We start from the raw sequence: 16,328 nt of genomic DNA on the forward strand, positions 1-16,328 counted from the left end.
GGAGATTTGGGGTGGAGGTAGGAGAAAGGCAGAATAAGCTGAATGTGAACCTGAAATATCCATTCACTTGATAAATGTCTATTAGACTGCCCTTTTATGTACAAAGTACTGTGCAAGGCACTTTGTCCCTAGTCAGTTCTCCGACTCCACCATTATCACTCCTCCTCCAGCCTCCAGGCCTCAAATTGCAGAGCAGACAGATGCCTTTAGCCAGGGCCTCCTTCCAATCTGCTGAAGCCAAAGGACAAGCGGTCTCTATCTTTCCTCGGTCTCACAAAGCTGCTTGACCTCTCAAGACAGCTGTCTCGTCTGGTCTGCTTCTGAGCTCTGGAATAACTGCTGCTCAGGATCCTTTAAGCGTTGTTCTCTGCCAACCCCGACTACTCTTATGTTTCCAGGCTCTCTGTCTAGCCTCATTCTCTTCTAACTACAATCATTACTGAGGCTTCAATGATCAGGTAACTCAAATTTTTCTTTCTCCACCCCAGGCTTCTCTTCTACACTTTTTCAACAGCCTATGAGCCATCTCTATCTGAATGTTGCACAGAACCATGAGAAAATTCTAAAACTGCACCCCTAACAACTGCAATCTTCTCCCCTTTTTCTCCTAATCTGCTCTGCCCCCGCAGTCCCAATCTTGATCCCACCAAGCTACACAAATCGGAAACCAGATTCACGTGTGATCCCTCTTCCTTCATCTTCCAAATGTAATTTCTTTTTTTCTTTTCTTTTTTTTTTTTTTTTGAGACAGAGTCTTGCTCTTGTCGCCCAGGCTGGTGGAGTGCAATGGCACAATCTCAGCTCACTGCAACCTCCTCCCAGGTTAAAGCGATTCTCCTGCCTCAGCCTCCCGAGTAGCTGGGACTACAGGCGCCCGTCACCACTCCCAGTGAATTTTTGTACTTTTAGTAGAGACGGGGTTTCGCCACGTTGGCCAGGCTGGTCTCGAGCCCCTGACCCGGTGATCTGCCGGCCTCAGCCTCCCAAAGTGCTGGGATTACAGGCGTGAGCCACTGTGCCTGGCCCCAAATGTAATTTCTTACAGATTCCTTTAATTTCTTTAACCTCAGCTTATCTAAAATCCCTTTCCTTATCATCTTTGCCTGAGATCAGGCTCTTATCTCTTGCCTGCTCTAAAGAGCAGCCTAACTAGTCTTCTACCGGCAGTCTCAACCAGTGACCTCGCCTTTATCACCCTCGGGCAATGATACTTTCTTGGAAATTGATAGCTCCACACTCCCACCCCTTGCTCAGGACCCCGATCAGATTACTTCTGTACTCAGAAATCCTCCAAAGACTCCAATCTACAAAGCCCTACAGGATCTAACACCTGTTAAGGCTCTGACCTCATCGTCTGCTCTCTCCTCCTTTACACTGCATTCCAGCCACACCAATGTTCCGAGTGGTCTTCAAAAATGCCAGGCACTCTCTGGTCTCAGGGTCTCTCAACTTGTTGCCCCCTCTACTAGGAAGTAATCTGTATGGCTCACTTTTTCATTCCCTTCAGGTCTTTACTCAAATAATGTCACCTTCTCAAGGAGGACTTCCCTGGTCACCTGATCAATAACTGCAATGCCTACCCCCTCCCCAGCAATTCCCTTCCCTGATTGATCTTTTCTCCTTAGCATTTATTTATTTATTAAATGCTTTTATAGTGCTCATTATGTACCAGGCCTTGTTCCAAACATTGTACAAATACTAACTTCATTCCCCTAACAACTTACAAGACAGATACTATTATCACAACACTTTATGGATGAGGCAGAGAGGCTAAGTAACTTGTCTAAGGTCACACAGCTCCTGGGAGGGAGAGGTGGGATGCAAGTGTGAGAATCCACCCATCCTTGTCCTCTAACATAATGCGTGTCTTGTGTTTCTCTTTTTTGTCTCTTCCCCCAGAATGGGAGCTCCCCCAGGCCCAGGTTTTGGTCTGCTCAGTTGAGTGCTGCAGTTGTAGCTTTGCAGACCCTAGGAAAGGGACTGGCAAGAAGTCAAGTTTTAGAGTTCTGGGACCCAAAAGGGTTAAGAACTCTACACTAGAGTGACATTTCCAAAACAAACAGGGAATCATAACTCCCCATCCCCCAACTTTTCTCTCTCACTCAGGAAACAGTCAACTCCTTAGGGTGTAAAAGAGGTCCCTCATGATTTAGTCCGGTGCTGTCCAATGAGGCAGCCACTTGCCATGTGTGGTTATTTAAAGTAATTAAATTTAAATAAAATTAAAAATTGAGTTCCTCAGTTGTACTAGCCACCTTTGAAGTGCTTAATAGCCACATATAGCTTCTGCATTAGCCAGTCCACACATAAAACACTGACATCATCGCAGAAAGCTCTTTGCACAGTACTGATCTGGGGCCTATCTTTCTGTCTCATTCCCTGACAGACCCCTCCTACGTACCCTAGGCTCCAGCCACATGAAACACAAGCTACAGATCACTGAAATGCCTCGCATTCCTTGGCATTAGCAGAATGAACCTCTTCCTTGTGTTGTCAGTTGCATTCCTAAGAATCAATGCTGACACAAATCAAGCATGAGTCCTCGGTGAGTTTCCCTAATCCTCATATCCCCAGAGTATTTGCTTATCACAGCAGTGGGCTAAAGTATTATACGTGTGGTTGGCTTCCTCATTACATGACAAGCCCCACTAGGGCAGGGACAGCCTCTTATTCTTCTGTTTCCCCCGTGACCAGTGCCTGCCACACAAATCATGAGTAACTATTGCAGGTTTCACAAATGGCTGGAAATGGGAGACACAAAGATGAATTAGATATAGGCCCAGACCTTAAAGAATCTATAAGGCAGTGGAGGAAATAAAACATACACACAAAGATATTAGAGAGTAAAAAGTATTAATAATGCCTACCTGACAAAGGGGAAAAAATCACTTTAATTAGTTCAAGTTTTAATATGGTGTCCATATTGTACCATGTACCCCAAATTTAGGACAAACAATGTCTGTGATTTAAAAGTTTACACAAAAAGTAAAAAGAAAAAAAAATCAATGATCTAGACGTTTAAATGGATTTTAATGTTTTTATAAAATAGCTACACAAGTTTAAAACTTCTGTGTGCTTAAAACAAACAAAAAAATCCCTCCCTGCTATGAATACACACAACTTGGGAAAAGTACTTGTAAAGTGCATGACAAAGAGTAAATAACCTTTACATAGCCAGTTATTATAAAGAAATAAGAGAAAGACTGAACAGAAAAATGAGCAAAGACAATTTGAGATTATTGAAATAAATCTCATTGAAATGGCTGATAAAATAATCAGTATTCAGATAAATAGAAATAAAAACAGCTATCATATTGACAGACATGAAGGCCTGGTGATACTTGGCTAACAGGGGAAGGGGAAAAGGTCGATGAGTACTGCTGTGAGACTCTGGACAGGCACATCACTAACCTTCTGGGGGTACTGGGGTGACACACACGAACACTTATGCATGCCTATCCTCTGCTCTACCCATCACACTTCCAGAAATTCATCTTTAGGAAGTCATCAGGAAAATTCACTAAAAAATCTATAGGATGGTCATCATAGTATTGTGTGGAACAGCAAAACACTGTTACTAATGTCCACTGTGGGGTACATTTATGCAATGGAATACAATGTGACTATTAAAGGTGATGACATAGATCTATTTATTGACATGAAAACAAGTTCATGATATATTAAGTGAAAAAATGTCCCCATGCATGGGGGGATAAAATGTTAGGAAAGAAACCAAAATATTAACAGTGCTTAGTTATTTCTGGGCAATGAGATCAGGTATCATCTTTATTTTCTTCCCTAGGCTTGCCTATATTTTTCAAAGGACATATATTAATTTTATCATCAGAGGAAATAACAATTTTTAACAAGCTACCTTTGACGGATGAAACCTTGTTTCCAGGATCAAATACTTTTCCGAATATATTGAGAAAGCCTATCTTAAAAGCCTATCAGGACACAGGAATTCCAATCTGAACATTTAAAAAAAACATCAGTGATAGTTGTGTGATAGCTGAACTGAGAACCAAAGAAAAGACAGTTTTATTTAACAGCTTAAAGTCATGGTTAAAGGCAAACTGGTCCTTGAGGAAGAAAGTCAGGACTACGAAGGTGACATGAGGAGTAACAAACCCAACTCCAAATTTCATGGAGTTTGCAGATTGCTACAGAGAAAATACTAATGCCCAGAAAATAGTCAAGATACTAATTAAAGGCAATGTTAAATTACTGGGATTCTTGTTATAAGAGCTCAGAGAAGAGCACAGAGAAGGCTAGCTTTAGCAGGAAAAGATTCCTAGAGGTGGGAGGTCAATTCTAGATGGGGTGAGAAAGAACACACTTCGAAGAGGAAGGTGACCGAGAGAATGATCACAGCGCACTTAGGAAACTTTGTGTCATCTGAGGTTTGTCTCAGGAATTTTTTTTTTTTGAGATATGTGATGATTTTGATCAAAAGGACAAACAGATATTTTAAGTTACAAAGCTTGTGTTTAAAAGCAGAGAAAATAGGACAGCTTATAACTGCTGAAGCACTGTAATTTTAACTCAGGACAAAAGTACAATGGATTATTGCCTAAGAGTTAAATGGTAATTTGATCTTCAAATGTAAACTCCAATTGTCCTTCTAGCTAAGAATCTTCGCACCAGGGCACTGGGAGGCAAATTCAGTAATACCACATAAAACTGACATGTTTTAAAAAAGCCTAAATTGTGTTAGACCTATCACCAGAGAGATGCATTAATTCTCATGATTTCAGCTAGTGGGGCCCTACTTGGCTGAACATTATTGGAATAAAGCCTACAGTCAGGTGTCAATGTCTTTGTCAGTCTCTCACTGACAGTTCTACAGATAACGACGAAAACAATGCAAATCAACCACAAAGGGAAATGGTTCCTCTGGTGGAAAAACACAAGATGCAAGGAAACAGATGTTAGTGAACTCAAATCACAGGCAAACAAAATCACAGAGAAGTCAGCCTCTGGGAGAGCTCAGCTTCTGAATAAGCAAAGGTACCACAGGGAAGGGTACTTCAGAAAAGAATGATTTGAATATCAAAGGATTCAAGAGAACCTGGAAAAATTAAAGATGCTCTCAACCATTCCGGCAGCGTTTTGCAAGAAACAACTGTCTTTCTGAGAGTGAGAGGCTGATGTGGAGGCTGCCGGGTGGCACCGTTACTCAGTAGTGACAAAAGATACATGAAGACAACTTGATTCATTCTTTAAGAAGATATGTATGTAGTTGCATTTATGATCTGTATGTTCAATATTTATCTTACACATTTTAATTTTATTTTTCAATATAAAATCTTAACCTCTTCCTCCCTCTATTAATTTGCAAAATTCTGGTTCCCATTTTAAGTAGTCTTTTTCTGGTCACTTTTCCTGAATTAACTCTGACTTTCCTCAAGTTCCAGTTCCACGTTCCAAGCTCATTGAAGCCCTGTTACTGCAAGCTCAACTAGTCCAACTCTAGGGTTGAAATCTTCTAATGCAAACTCTAATACCACCCTCCAAATTCTCCAGGTCTAAGACGGGTACCACCAATCCCCATTGACCTGGATTACCTGGTTCTCAGCTTTGATTCCCACATCCGGTGTTGACAATCTTCTATCATTCTCCAAGCCAGTCGATTCTTCCTCAGATATCCCTCATATCTAAGATGACCACAGCAGGCACCACTACCTCAAGACAGATCTCTTGGCGACTCACCCACCTTCTGCCTTCACTGTGCACGCCACACTTTACAAGCAACTCTTTGTAAAACACGGCCTTCAAAATATGATCAGCTAAGAACCTTCTGGAAGGCCATGGATCAACACCAAGTTTCCTGTGTGGCACCTGAAACCTTTTATCCATCAACTGGTCCACCTTATCTCACCAACCTATCCTCTCATCAGTCCCAGATACCATCTCTCAGCTCCAGTGCAGCAGGTCTCTCTCTTCTCTCCCACACAAGCTGTCTCCATGCCTGCCTCAGGCATTTACTAACAGCACTTCCTCCGAGCCACCACCGTGTCCTCCTCTCAAGACTACACTTCTTTCAAGGCACAAGTCAACATGTTTCTTTGTCAAGATTTAACCTGTTACACATCCTGATGTTTTCTTACAATTGGAATCGTCTCTTTATTCATGAGTAGTCTATTTTAAATAAACATGCTGAGTAAATACGTAGAGAATATAAATCCTTAGATAAATGTTCATTTTTGTCTCCTTCCTAGACTATATCCTCAAGGGCCTCAGTCACACATTTCCTATTAGAGGTAGAAGAATATAAGCCATAGATTCAACATGCAACAACTACAAGACCTCTGTTAAGGTAAACAGAGAAATAAACGATTCAACTACACGAATTAGTGTTCCATTTTATAATTCTACTATGTCAAACAGAATTAACAAACCTGATACAAAAACATCAAATATATGGTAACACAAATAATATAACTCTTTTAGGCCTCTCTAAAGCTGGATAATTTGGTATTTTCATCACAAAAAGGAGACAACAAAGACTGCAATGCGAAATTAGCCTGGGCTTTGAGTGTCTAATTTAGAATTCTTCCATTACCTCTAGTTTACCTTCTAGCCTGAAAGTTCCTGAATCATAAAGGATCTCTTTAGTTTCCTTCGTGATAAGTGTTCTCTGAAAACGCTCTGCACTAGGGTTCATCTAACTGGGGTCTGAAGCACCCTAAGGGTTCTGGGACACATTCTAGACCATGAGAGAATTGTTCCTTTAAAAGGGGTCCGCGCATTACTCAAGTTCAGAAACAATGCTGTGCATCATCACTTTACTGCCCAATAAGCTCCATTTTTCCAAGAAGAAATCTAACATGAAATCTGGCAAAAGCAAAGCAAAGCGAAAACGACAAGACGAGCGAATGTCATCATTTAAAGCGGCAGGCAGGGCCGGCTGGGTCCCGGGTGCAGCATCCCTGCTGCCCGGTCAAGCTCCGCCCATTCGAGGGGGGGATCCCGAGCGGTCACCCGAGGCGCGCGACCGCCAGGTGTCCCCTGCCAGGGGCTGGGGGAGCGCGCCGGCCGCCAGGGCTCACAGGGGTTGGTCCCGGGGCGCTCGGATGTGGCCGCGCGGCAGGGGAGGCGGGAACCGGTCCGCGGGGCTAAGCAGGCGGCTGTGGGGGCCTGGGGCAGAGAGGCTCGTCCGCGGCCCGCTCGCCGCGCCGCCGGCCCCCGCACTCCAACCCACTCGCCGGCCCCTTCGGCCGCCCGCCCTCCCCTCACCCACGCTCGGAAGGCAACCTCACCTGCTTGGCCGGCCGGGGACCCCGGGAGCGGGGGACCACCAGTGGGCAGCATCACGGCCAGCCGGCTTCCTGGAGGCCGCGCTCCTTTCCTGGAGCCGCACCCCCGCCCGGCCCCCGCCGGCAACACGTCACCGCCTGCGCCCGGAGCGCGCCCGCTGGCGGCGGGAGCGCGCACGCCGAGGGGCGCGTTGAGCGCTGGGGGGCGGAGCCTGATGCGGGATGATTGGCGTCCGAGCGCTGGGCTGTTCCGTGGACCCGCGCGGCCACGCCAGTGTGCTGTGCACGGGAAATGTGGACGTGGGAGCACGGAGGCACCCAGTACTGTGGCGTGGTGCTCGTCTGGTCGTCAGCGAGCCTCAGCGTACTTAGGACACCGCAGTTTATCTTTCCTTAGCGCTCCTAACGGTTATGGAAAATAGCGCTTGAAAACCTGGTAAGGACTAGGCATTGTTGCTCAACTCTTGACATTTACACCTTTGCCGGTAACTCTCCCTGTTTCACAGATGGGGAAACGGAGGCTCACACTTATTCAGTCTCTCTTGAGATCCACCTGATTCGTGAGAGGTAGAGCCAGGATTTCATTCTTGCCCGTCGATGGCATATGTTAGTGCCTATGTTGGGGGAGGCAGACTGCCCCAGCCCTCCCCAACACACGCAATGGTTATGAGAAGAAATAAAGCGAAGGGTGTTCCTGAGATTGACCCCATGACCTACACTTAGTACAAGGCTAAGCTCTCTTAGCTCTCTGGCTTAGCAATAAACTGCTTTGAAGACACAGAACTTTGCACTTGAGAGCCGGAAGAGACCTTGGGAATCCCGGGTTCCATCCTTTCTTCCACCTTGTATACAGGTGAATGCACTGTGGCCCAGAGATAGGAAGTGACCAGCAATCCAGCCACTTTAAAAGATTTTTAAAAACAAGAGCCCTAGAAACGTCTACTCCATTCCATTTATCAAGTAAAACAAGCATAGACAGAACTGGCAGTTCTACATCTTAACACAGAATCCTTCTTGGTCCAGCACCCGCCTGGGTCACCTCCTCTTCCTGGATTCAGCTACTGTTAACGGAAGAAACCATGAAGCCTCAGAAGGTTAGAGCCAAAGGGACTCTACTGTGTAGCCCCAATCACCTTCTTTTACAGTTAAGAGCCTGGAACCCAGAGAGGTTGAGTGACTTGGCCAAGACCCCCTGGAGGCAGAGGAGAGCAGAACCAATGTTTCAGACTCCCACATGACTTGCGCATCAGTGTCTTTTTTTTGACAATCTGTTGCTATAAGAAATTACTCGTTTGGATAATTTTCACACTAGAAAACCCTGTGACCCAAGGCTAGCATTGAGAAGCTAAAGCTGGCCACTGACATACTGTGATTTTAAGGACAGTCTCCTTCGAAATTATCTGCCTTTCAAAATCTTTGCCATTGGAGACACTGGTTGGGGTTATGTTAGTCTTCCTTAAGGAGGGCTCTACTAAAATGCCAGACTAGGCCGGGCATGGTGGCTCATGCCTGTAATCCCAGCACTTTGGGAGTCCAAGGCAGGTGGATTGCCTGAAATTAGGAGTTCAAGACCAGCCTGACCAACATGGTGAAACCCCATCTCTATTAAAAATACAAACACTAGCTGGACATAGTGGCTTTTTTGTGCCTGTAATCCCAGCTACTCAGGAGGCTGAGACAGGAGAATTGCTTGAACCCGGGAGGTGGAGGTTGCAGTGAGCCGAGATCACGCCAATGGACTCCAGCCTGAGCAACAGAGTGAGACTCCATCTCAGAGAGAGAGAGAAGAAAAGCCAGACTAGTAAGTATTATCACACCATCCATATTTCCTGATAATTTATATGTAATAATTGTCTGATAAGAGCTAGGAAAGAAAAATATAGGAAAGTATGGAAACGTGTAACTTGGCATATTACATTCTAGAGCTGCAGTGACAAATTGCCCTAAACTGGGTGGCTTAAAGCAAGATAATTTATTGTCTTCCAGTTCTAGATGGTAGAAGCCTGAAATGAAGGTGTCAGCAGGGCTGTGCTCTCTCTAAAGATCTAGAGGAGGATCCTTCTTTGCCTCTTCCTAGCTTCTGGTGGCTACTGGCCATCCTTGGCCTTCCTCAGCTTGTAGATGCATCACTTTGGTCTCTGCCCCTGTTGTCACATGGTATTATCTCTGTGTGTCTGTGTCTCTGTCTCCAAGTTTCTTTCTTCTCATAAAGACACCAGCCATATTAGATTCAAGGCTCACCCTCATCCAGTGTGATCTTATGATCTCATATTAACTTGATTATATTTGCAAAGATCCTATTTCCAAATAAGGTCACATTCATGGGTTCTGGGTGGACATGAATTTTTTGGGGGTGGTCACTATTCAACTTAGTACATGAGAGGACCATCCTGGTCTGGTTCATCAGGGAGAGCTTCTTTGAGGTAACGCTGTCTGAGGTCACACCTGCACAATGAATGGGAATTTATTAGAATTCTGGGCCTATATGAAGGAATAGTATTTCAGTCAGTGGAAACAGCAAAGAGGCTCTGAAGGGGCCCATTCTCACTTGTTAACAAGAGAAACAAAAACTGGAGCTAGGCTGGGCGCGATGGCTCAAGCCTGTAATATCAGCACTTTGGGAGGCCGAGGCGGGTGGATCACGAGGTCAGGAGATCGAGACCATCCTGGCTAACACGGTGAAACCCTGTCTCTACTAAAAAAAAATACAAAAAATTAGCTGGGCGTGGTGGCAGGCGCCTGTAGTCCCAGCTACTCAGGAGGCTGAGGCAGGAGAATGGCGTGAACCCGGGAGGCGGAGCTTGCAGTGAGCTGTGATCGCACCACTGCACTCCAGCCTGGGCGACAGAGCAAGACTCCATCTCAAAAAAAAAAAAACAAAAACTGGAGCTAACAGGAGGGAACACTTACTAAGTACTTTATGCCAGGCATGGTTGTAAGAACGTTAGAAAACACGGCATACAGAATGATAATGAAACTGCATCAAAATATGTGGAATGCAGTCAGAACAGTCCTTCAAGAGAAATTTATAGCTTTAAAAGTTTATTTTAGTAAAGAAAAAAGGTTTGAAATCAATTATCTAAGTTTCCACCTTATGACATTAGAATAAGAAAGTGAATTAAACTCGAAGTGAATAGGAGGAAAAAAATAATAAAAAATAATATGAGACATTAACCAACTTACAAGTTGGTTCTTTGAAAATATTAACAAAATTGCTAAACTCCTAGTGAGATTGAGCAGGACAAAAAAACACGAATAACAAATATCAAGCATAAAAGAGGAAGATCCCTACAGATATACAGAAATTGAAAATATAATAAGAAAACATTATGAATAACTTTATGCTGATCATTTCGATAATTTACATTAAATGGAAAAAGTCTTTGAAAAATACAACTTCCCAAAACTGGCACAGGAAGAAATAGAACATTTGAATCACCCCATATCTTTAAGGTCCTAAAAAGAAAATTCCAGAGCAAGATGGCTTCACTAGTAAATGTTTATCAATCATTTAAGAAAGGTAATATTGATTTTATATAAACTCTTTTGAAAGAACAAAGGAAGAGAGAACACTTTTTAATTTATAATTCAGAATAATCCTGATACCAAGAAATAAAAAGGAAAGAAAATCACACACCTATATTTCTTACATAGGTGCAAAAATTTTAACAAAATATTGGCCAATCAAGGTCAGGTGTAATGACTCATGTCTGTAATCCCAGCACTTTGGGAGGCCGAGGCAGGTGGCTCACCTGAGGTCAGGAGTTTGAGACCAGCCTGGCCAACATGGTGAAACCCCATCTCTACTAAAAATACAAAAATTAGCCAGGCAAGGTGGTGGGCACCTTTAATCCCAGCTACTCAGGAGGGTAAGACAGGAGAATTGCTTGAACCTGGGAGGTGGAGGTTGCAGTGAGCTGAGATTGCGCCACTGCACCCAGCCTGGGTGACAGAGTGAGACTCCATCTCAAAAAAACAAAAACAAAAACAAAATTGGCAAATCAAATCCAGCGACATCTGAAAGAGCAAGATAGCATTACCAGGTGGGATTCTTTTTTGAGGAATGCAAAATTGGCTCAACATTTGAAAATCAATCAATGTCATTCACTACATAAACAGAATAAAGAAGAAAATTCATATGATTCGTATGATCTCAGTCAATGCAAAAAAAAATTTGGCAAAATTCAACACCCATTCATAATTTTGAAAAAAAGCCTTTATCAACTATAAAGGGTATGATTTTCCTCAGCTTGATGGAGCATCTACAAAGAATACAGCTATCATGGTTGTAAAATCAAAGTAACTCATTTTGTGCATGGGACTTTAAAAGTGTTAAATGAAATATTGAACAAATATGTGATACCTGGAGATACATGACCATTTTGCAACCATGGGACAACAGTCATCCTGATAAGAGCCAACAATAAATACGATGGAACTGAAAGATAGAACTGTTTGGGTCCATGATGGCATCATTAAACCGCTGAACTAGTACCAGTGACTGTGTCTACCCCCTGACTTCTTATTAGGAGAGAAAAATAAGCTCTTTATTTGTTTAAATTTCTTTTGGTTGGATATTCCATTACTTGTTGTTAGGTCTTTAAAAATATTTGTTGACTGGTTGGGTGACTTGCTCAAGGTTATAAAACTAAATGGGAGACAGGATGACTTAATGTAAAAAGTACCAAGCCGGGAGGCAGGAAACCTGAATCCTTATCCTCAATAGACTGTGTAAGCTTAGAAATTGTAGTTTGCCTTACTGGTCCTCACCATCCATATATAATTTGTAAAAGGAAAGGGGTTTGTGGAGATGGCTAAGCTGACCTTTAACGTTCTTTCCAGGTCTAAAATCTATGATTTCTAAGAGGCAAAAGAGAAGACTAGAAGTAAGATTTTCCCTTTCTCTCTTCTCCTTTCCCTCCCTGCTGTGGTCTGAATGTGCCGCCCAGTTTTCATGTGTTGAAACGTAATGACCAATGTGATTAGCATTAAGGGGTTCTGCCTCTCAGCATTAATTAAGTCATGAGGGTGGAGCCCTCATGGGTAGGATTAGAGACCTTATAAAAGGGCTTGAGGAAACGTGTTTACTCTCTTCTGCTCTTCTGCCCTGTAAGTACTTAGCACTCAACCCCTTTCTGTCTTTCCATACCTTCTGTCAGATGAGGATACCTATATAGCTCAATCTTTGAGGAACAGGTTTTTACCAGATAGAAAATGTGCTTTGGACTTCCCAGCCTCCAGAACTGTGAGAAAATATATTTCTGTCCTTTATAAATTATCCAGTCTGTGGTACTTTGTTATAGTGGCACAAATGAACTAAGACAGTCTCTTCTTCTCCCTCTTTTTTTCCGTCCTTCTCTTTCTTCTTCTTCTTCTTTTTTTTTTTTTTTTTTGAGATGGAGTCTAGCTCTCTCACCCAGGCTGGAGTGCAATGGCACATTCTCAGCTTACTGCAAGCTCACCTCCTGGGTTCACGCCATTCTCCTGCCTCAGCCTCCCGAGTAGCTGAGACTGCAGGAACCCACCACCAGGCCCGGCTAATTTTTTTGTATTTTTAGTAGAGACGGGGTTTCACCATGTTAGCCAGGATGGTCTCGATCTCCTGACCTCGTGATCCGCCCGCCTTGGCCTCACAAAGTGCTGGGATTACAGGTGTGAGCCACCATGCCCGGCCTCTTTCTTCTTAAGAAACAAAACATAAGGACCAGGCACAGGGGCTCATGCCTATAATCCCAGCACTTTGGGAGGTGAAAGTGGGAGGATTGCTCGAGCCCAGGAGTTTGAGGCTGCAGTGAGCTGTGATCGCACCACTGCACTCCATCCTGGGTGACAGAGCAAGATCCTGTCTCCAAAGAAAACTTAAAAAAAAAAAAATCAAACATAAGATAGAAGACCTCTTTCCTTCTCTTGTTGAACTTGAGATTTCTTTGTAACAGTGTATATGGGAATGTTGATGAATGGAGTAGGGCAGATGAACAACCATCAATATCTAAAACCCAATTATGATTTCTCTTTAATTATCTTTCTAGAAAACCCTCTAACATGGCAATTGCTTGAAATTCTGCTCTCCAAATGTTTTAATCCATCATTCCAAGGAAGCTAAATTGGCTCACCTGTCCCTCCTGGCTGTGTGTGGGTGTTTGGGGAAGGTAACCATGCTAGATGTCAGGAAACAAAGGAATCCTGCAGCGCTTGGAAATGGGGAGTTCTCTTACTCTTCCTTGGACCTGTTTGCTTTCCAAGACATTCATGCACAGACTATTTTTGAGTGGCTTGGCTAATAATCCTATATATTTACACAGCCTTTGTCTTCAGGAAATCATGTCACTTTACAGGCATGGTCTCATTTATGAGCCCAGCATTCCTAAGGCAAAGGGATTTTTATTTCATGGTGTTTTGTTGTGGAGAGAAAGAGAAAGTGACTTGTTCAAAGCAACATCAAAATCCAGGGTTTCCTCCAAATTTTTTTAAAAATTATTTATTTATTTATTTTTTGAGACCAAGTTTCACTCTTGTTGTCCAGGCTGGAGTGCAATGGCGCGATCTTGGCTCACCATAACCTCTGCCTTCTGGGTTCAAGCGATTCTCCTGCCTCAGCCTCCCGAGTAGCTGGGATTACAGGCATGCGCCACCACGCTGGGCTAATTGTTATGTATTTTTAGTAGAGACGGGGTTTCTCTATGTTGGTCAGGCTGGTTTCGAACTCCCGACCTCAGGTGATCTGTCCGCCTTGGCCTCCCAAAGTGCTTGGATTACAGGCGTGAGCCACAACGTCTGGCCCTAAATCCTGGGTTTACTCCAAACTTTTCTCATCAAAGCAGAGTGATCAAACTGTACCATAAAGGAGTCACATGGGAGATGGGTAATTGAACACACAAACACATGCACACACACACACACACACAAAACACACACACACGTAGGCAGCAGACATAGTTGCTTTTGCTGCTCGGGCCCCATCACTCTAGTTTTGGTAACAGTACCTCAGATTTCTGAAGGAATATACTCAGGTCATATTTGGTCCATTTGGGTCAGAAATTATGACCCTGGCCTGGTTAAGCAAGGTAATTTTGTCTCCTGATCATGATGACTGGCACGAGTCAATGTTGTTCTGATTAGATAAAAGCTCCATTTTTCAATATCAGCTTCATCTGTGATAAAGATGATACTTTGGTTTGTAAACCCAGAAAATCAGAGACAAGTCTCAGTTAATTTAGAAAGTTTATTTTGCCAAGGTTGAGGATGTGCGCCCATGGCACAGCCTCAGGAAATCCTGACGCCATGTGCCCAAGGTGGCTGGGGCACCGCTTCATTTTATACATTTTAGGGAGACATGAGACATCAATCAATATATGTAAGACATACATTGGTTCCATCCAGAAAGGTGGGGACAACTCAAAGCAAGGAGGGGTCTTCCAGATCACTGGTAGGTGAGAGAAAAGGGGTTGCATTCTTTTGAGTTTCTGATAAGCCTTTCTAAAGGAGGCAATCAGAATATGCCTCTATGTCAGTGAGCAGAGGGATGACTTTGAGTAGAATGGGAGGCAGGTTTGCCCTGAGCAGTTTCCAGCTTGAATTTTCCCTTTGGCTTAGTGATTTTGGGGCCCCAAGATATTTTCCTTTCACAGGTTTTCATATAGTTTTTGTTTCATTTCTAAAATTATTCAGACTTAAGCAGGAAGCAGTGGGTAGTTTATTGGACACCTTAAACCTCTCTCTGTTCCTTTCTCACACCAGATAACATACCATTCTTCCTCTCACCATCCTTCCCTACTGCACCATCACCTTTAAGTTAAGGTTGAAATTCCTGAGCAAATCAACTGCAAATCGATGAGGTGACCAGATGTCATGGACAGGATGGCTTCACACTAGTCTCCTTGGCATGACACCCCAAGGCCATGGTTAAGTTGCTTTCAACTTTTAAGCCTGATGTCCAGACACTTCCCTATATATATTTTCGCTGTGTTCTAACATGTTTAATGGACTATTTGCTTGTTTCCCAATTGTGCCTTCTTTTCTTTTCTTTTCTTTTTTTTTTTTTTTGAGATGGAGTTTCACTCTTGTTGCTCAGGCTGGAGTGCAGTGGTGTGATCTCGGCTCACTGCAACCTCTGCCTCCCGGGTTCAAGCAATTCTTCTGCCTCAGCCTCCCGAGCAGCTGGGACTACAGGCACGTGCCACCATGCCTGGCTAATTTTTGTATTTTTAGTAGAGATGGGGTTTCACTATGTTGGTCAGGCTGGTCTCGAACTCCTGACCTCATGATCCGATCAGTGCAGGGCTTTTCTAAGTGCCAGCCATCTGTGACTGACTGCACAGGTCCCACGCCCTAGAAGCAGCTCTGTAGCTACCCCAGGAAAATGTAGCCCTATGGCCTTGACTGTAGAAGCCTCTGCTGTTGCCCAAGGCTGTGGGCTGGCCTGAGCAGCTGGGAGGATGAGTGGGGAGTGTGGGGCTTCAGGACAGAGCTTGAGCCTTGATACTTGCCTGACTTTCAGTCTTACAGAAACCACAGTATTACAGACTTTTCCATGTTGTTGTTACAAAGATATATAGATTTAATATATAGATTTAAAAATAAATGCAAAAAAGTAAAAATTAGAGGGGCTATAACATTTGATTTACTAGTTTATCTGAATTTATCATTTTAAACATCTTAAAACATGGGTGTGTCCTCTTAGCCCTGACCCTCCAAATGTTTGTGGCAATCCCAGAGTGGAGAACGCAGAAGGAATGAATAAACCTCCTGGAAGAGGTGGCATGAGATGTGACTGAAGACACAAAGAGAACGATAAATGTGAAGAGGAGGAAGGATTCCTCTTTTGTTAAAAAAAATTGTGGTAAAATACACATAACATAAAATTTACCATCTTAAATTTATTTATTTATTTATTTATTTATTTAGAGACAGAGTCTCTGTCACCCAGGCTGGAGTACAGTGGTACAATAGTAGCTCACTGTAACCTCAAACTCCTGGGCTCAAATGATCCTCATGCTCCAACCTCCCAAAGTGCTGGGATTACAGGCGTGAGCCACCGCACCCTGCCCATCTTGATCATTTTTAAGTGTA

General features: G+C 43.4%; 1 protein-coding gene and 1 long non-coding RNA gene across 5 annotated transcripts in view, besides 6 other annotated features; one reads left to right on the top strand and one right to left on the bottom strand.

Annotated features, from left to right (window-relative positions):
* The window catches only part of ENTPD4 (ectonucleoside triphosphate diphosphohydrolase 4), a 28,486-nt gene extending 21,133 nt beyond the window's left edge, over positions 1 to 7,353 (bottom strand). For both annotated transcript variants that reach the window (NM_001128930.3, NM_004901.5), the window contains exon 1: positions 7,263 to 7,353. The gene's annotated coding sequence lies outside the window, so the exon portion shown is untranslated. The remainder of the gene's footprint in view (positions 1 to 7,262) is intronic.
* Positions 341 to 1,048: an enhancer, noted in NCBI's record as "H3K27ac-H3K4me1 hESC enhancer chr8:23308148-23308855 (GRCh37/hg19 assembly coordinates)". NCBI's record gives its function as "activates a minimal SCP1, AML or CMV promoter by ChIP-STARR-seq in primed H9 embryonic stem cells {active_cell/tissue: H9 hESC(primed)}" and the evidence as "EXISTENCE:reporter gene assay evidence [ECO:0000049][PMID:30033119]".
* Positions 2,342 to 2,636: a silencer, noted in NCBI's record as "tiled region #8456; K562 Repressive DNase unmatched - State 14:Gen5'". NCBI's record gives its function as "represses a minimal TATA promoter and a strong SV40 promoter by Sharpr-MPRA in K562 cells {active_cell/tissue: K562}" and the evidence as "EXISTENCE:reporter gene assay evidence [ECO:0000049][PMID:27701403]".
* Positions 2,342 to 3,170: a biological region, named in NCBI's record as "Sharpr-MPRA regulatory region 8456".
* Positions 2,464 to 3,170: an enhancer, noted in NCBI's record as "OCT4-NANOG-H3K27ac hESC enhancer chr8:23310271-23310977 (GRCh37/hg19 assembly coordinates)". NCBI's record gives its function as "activates a minimal SCP1, AML or CMV promoter by ChIP-STARR-seq in naive H9 embryonic stem cells {active_cell/tissue: H9 hESC(naive)}" and the evidence as "EXISTENCE:reporter gene assay evidence [ECO:0000049][PMID:30033119]".
* Positions 4,520 to 5,021: an enhancer, noted in NCBI's record as "NANOG hESC enhancer chr8:23312327-23312828 (GRCh37/hg19 assembly coordinates)". NCBI's record gives its function as "activates a minimal SCP1, AML or CMV promoter by ChIP-STARR-seq in naive H9 embryonic stem cells {active_cell/tissue: H9 hESC(naive)}" and the evidence as "EXISTENCE:reporter gene assay evidence [ECO:0000049][PMID:30033119]".
* Positions 6,887 to 7,566: a silencer, noted in NCBI's record as "silent region_19024". NCBI's record gives its function as "represses an Ori minimal core promoter by ATAC-STARR-seq in GM12878 lymphoblastoid cells {active_cell/tissue: GM12878}" and the evidence as "EXISTENCE:reporter gene assay evidence [ECO:0000049][PMID:35858748]".
* ENTPD4-DT (ENTPD4 divergent transcript) overlaps positions 7,477 to 16,328 on the top strand; it is a 37,125-nt gene continuing 28,273 nt past the window's right edge. For 2 of the 3 annotated variants that reach the window (NR_186531.1, NR_186532.1), the window contains exon 1: positions 7,477 to 9,060. This is a non-coding gene — a long non-coding RNA (ENTPD4 divergent transcript). The remainder of the gene's footprint in view (positions 9,061 to 16,328) is intronic. The other variant, NR_186533.1, reaches the window with a different exon arrangement.

This window comes from Homo sapiens, chromosome 8 (assembly GCF_000001405.40).
Source record: "Homo sapiens chromosome 8, GRCh38.p14 Primary Assembly".
Lineage (NCBI taxonomy): Eukaryota > Metazoa > Chordata > Mammalia > Primates > Hominidae > Homo > Homo sapiens.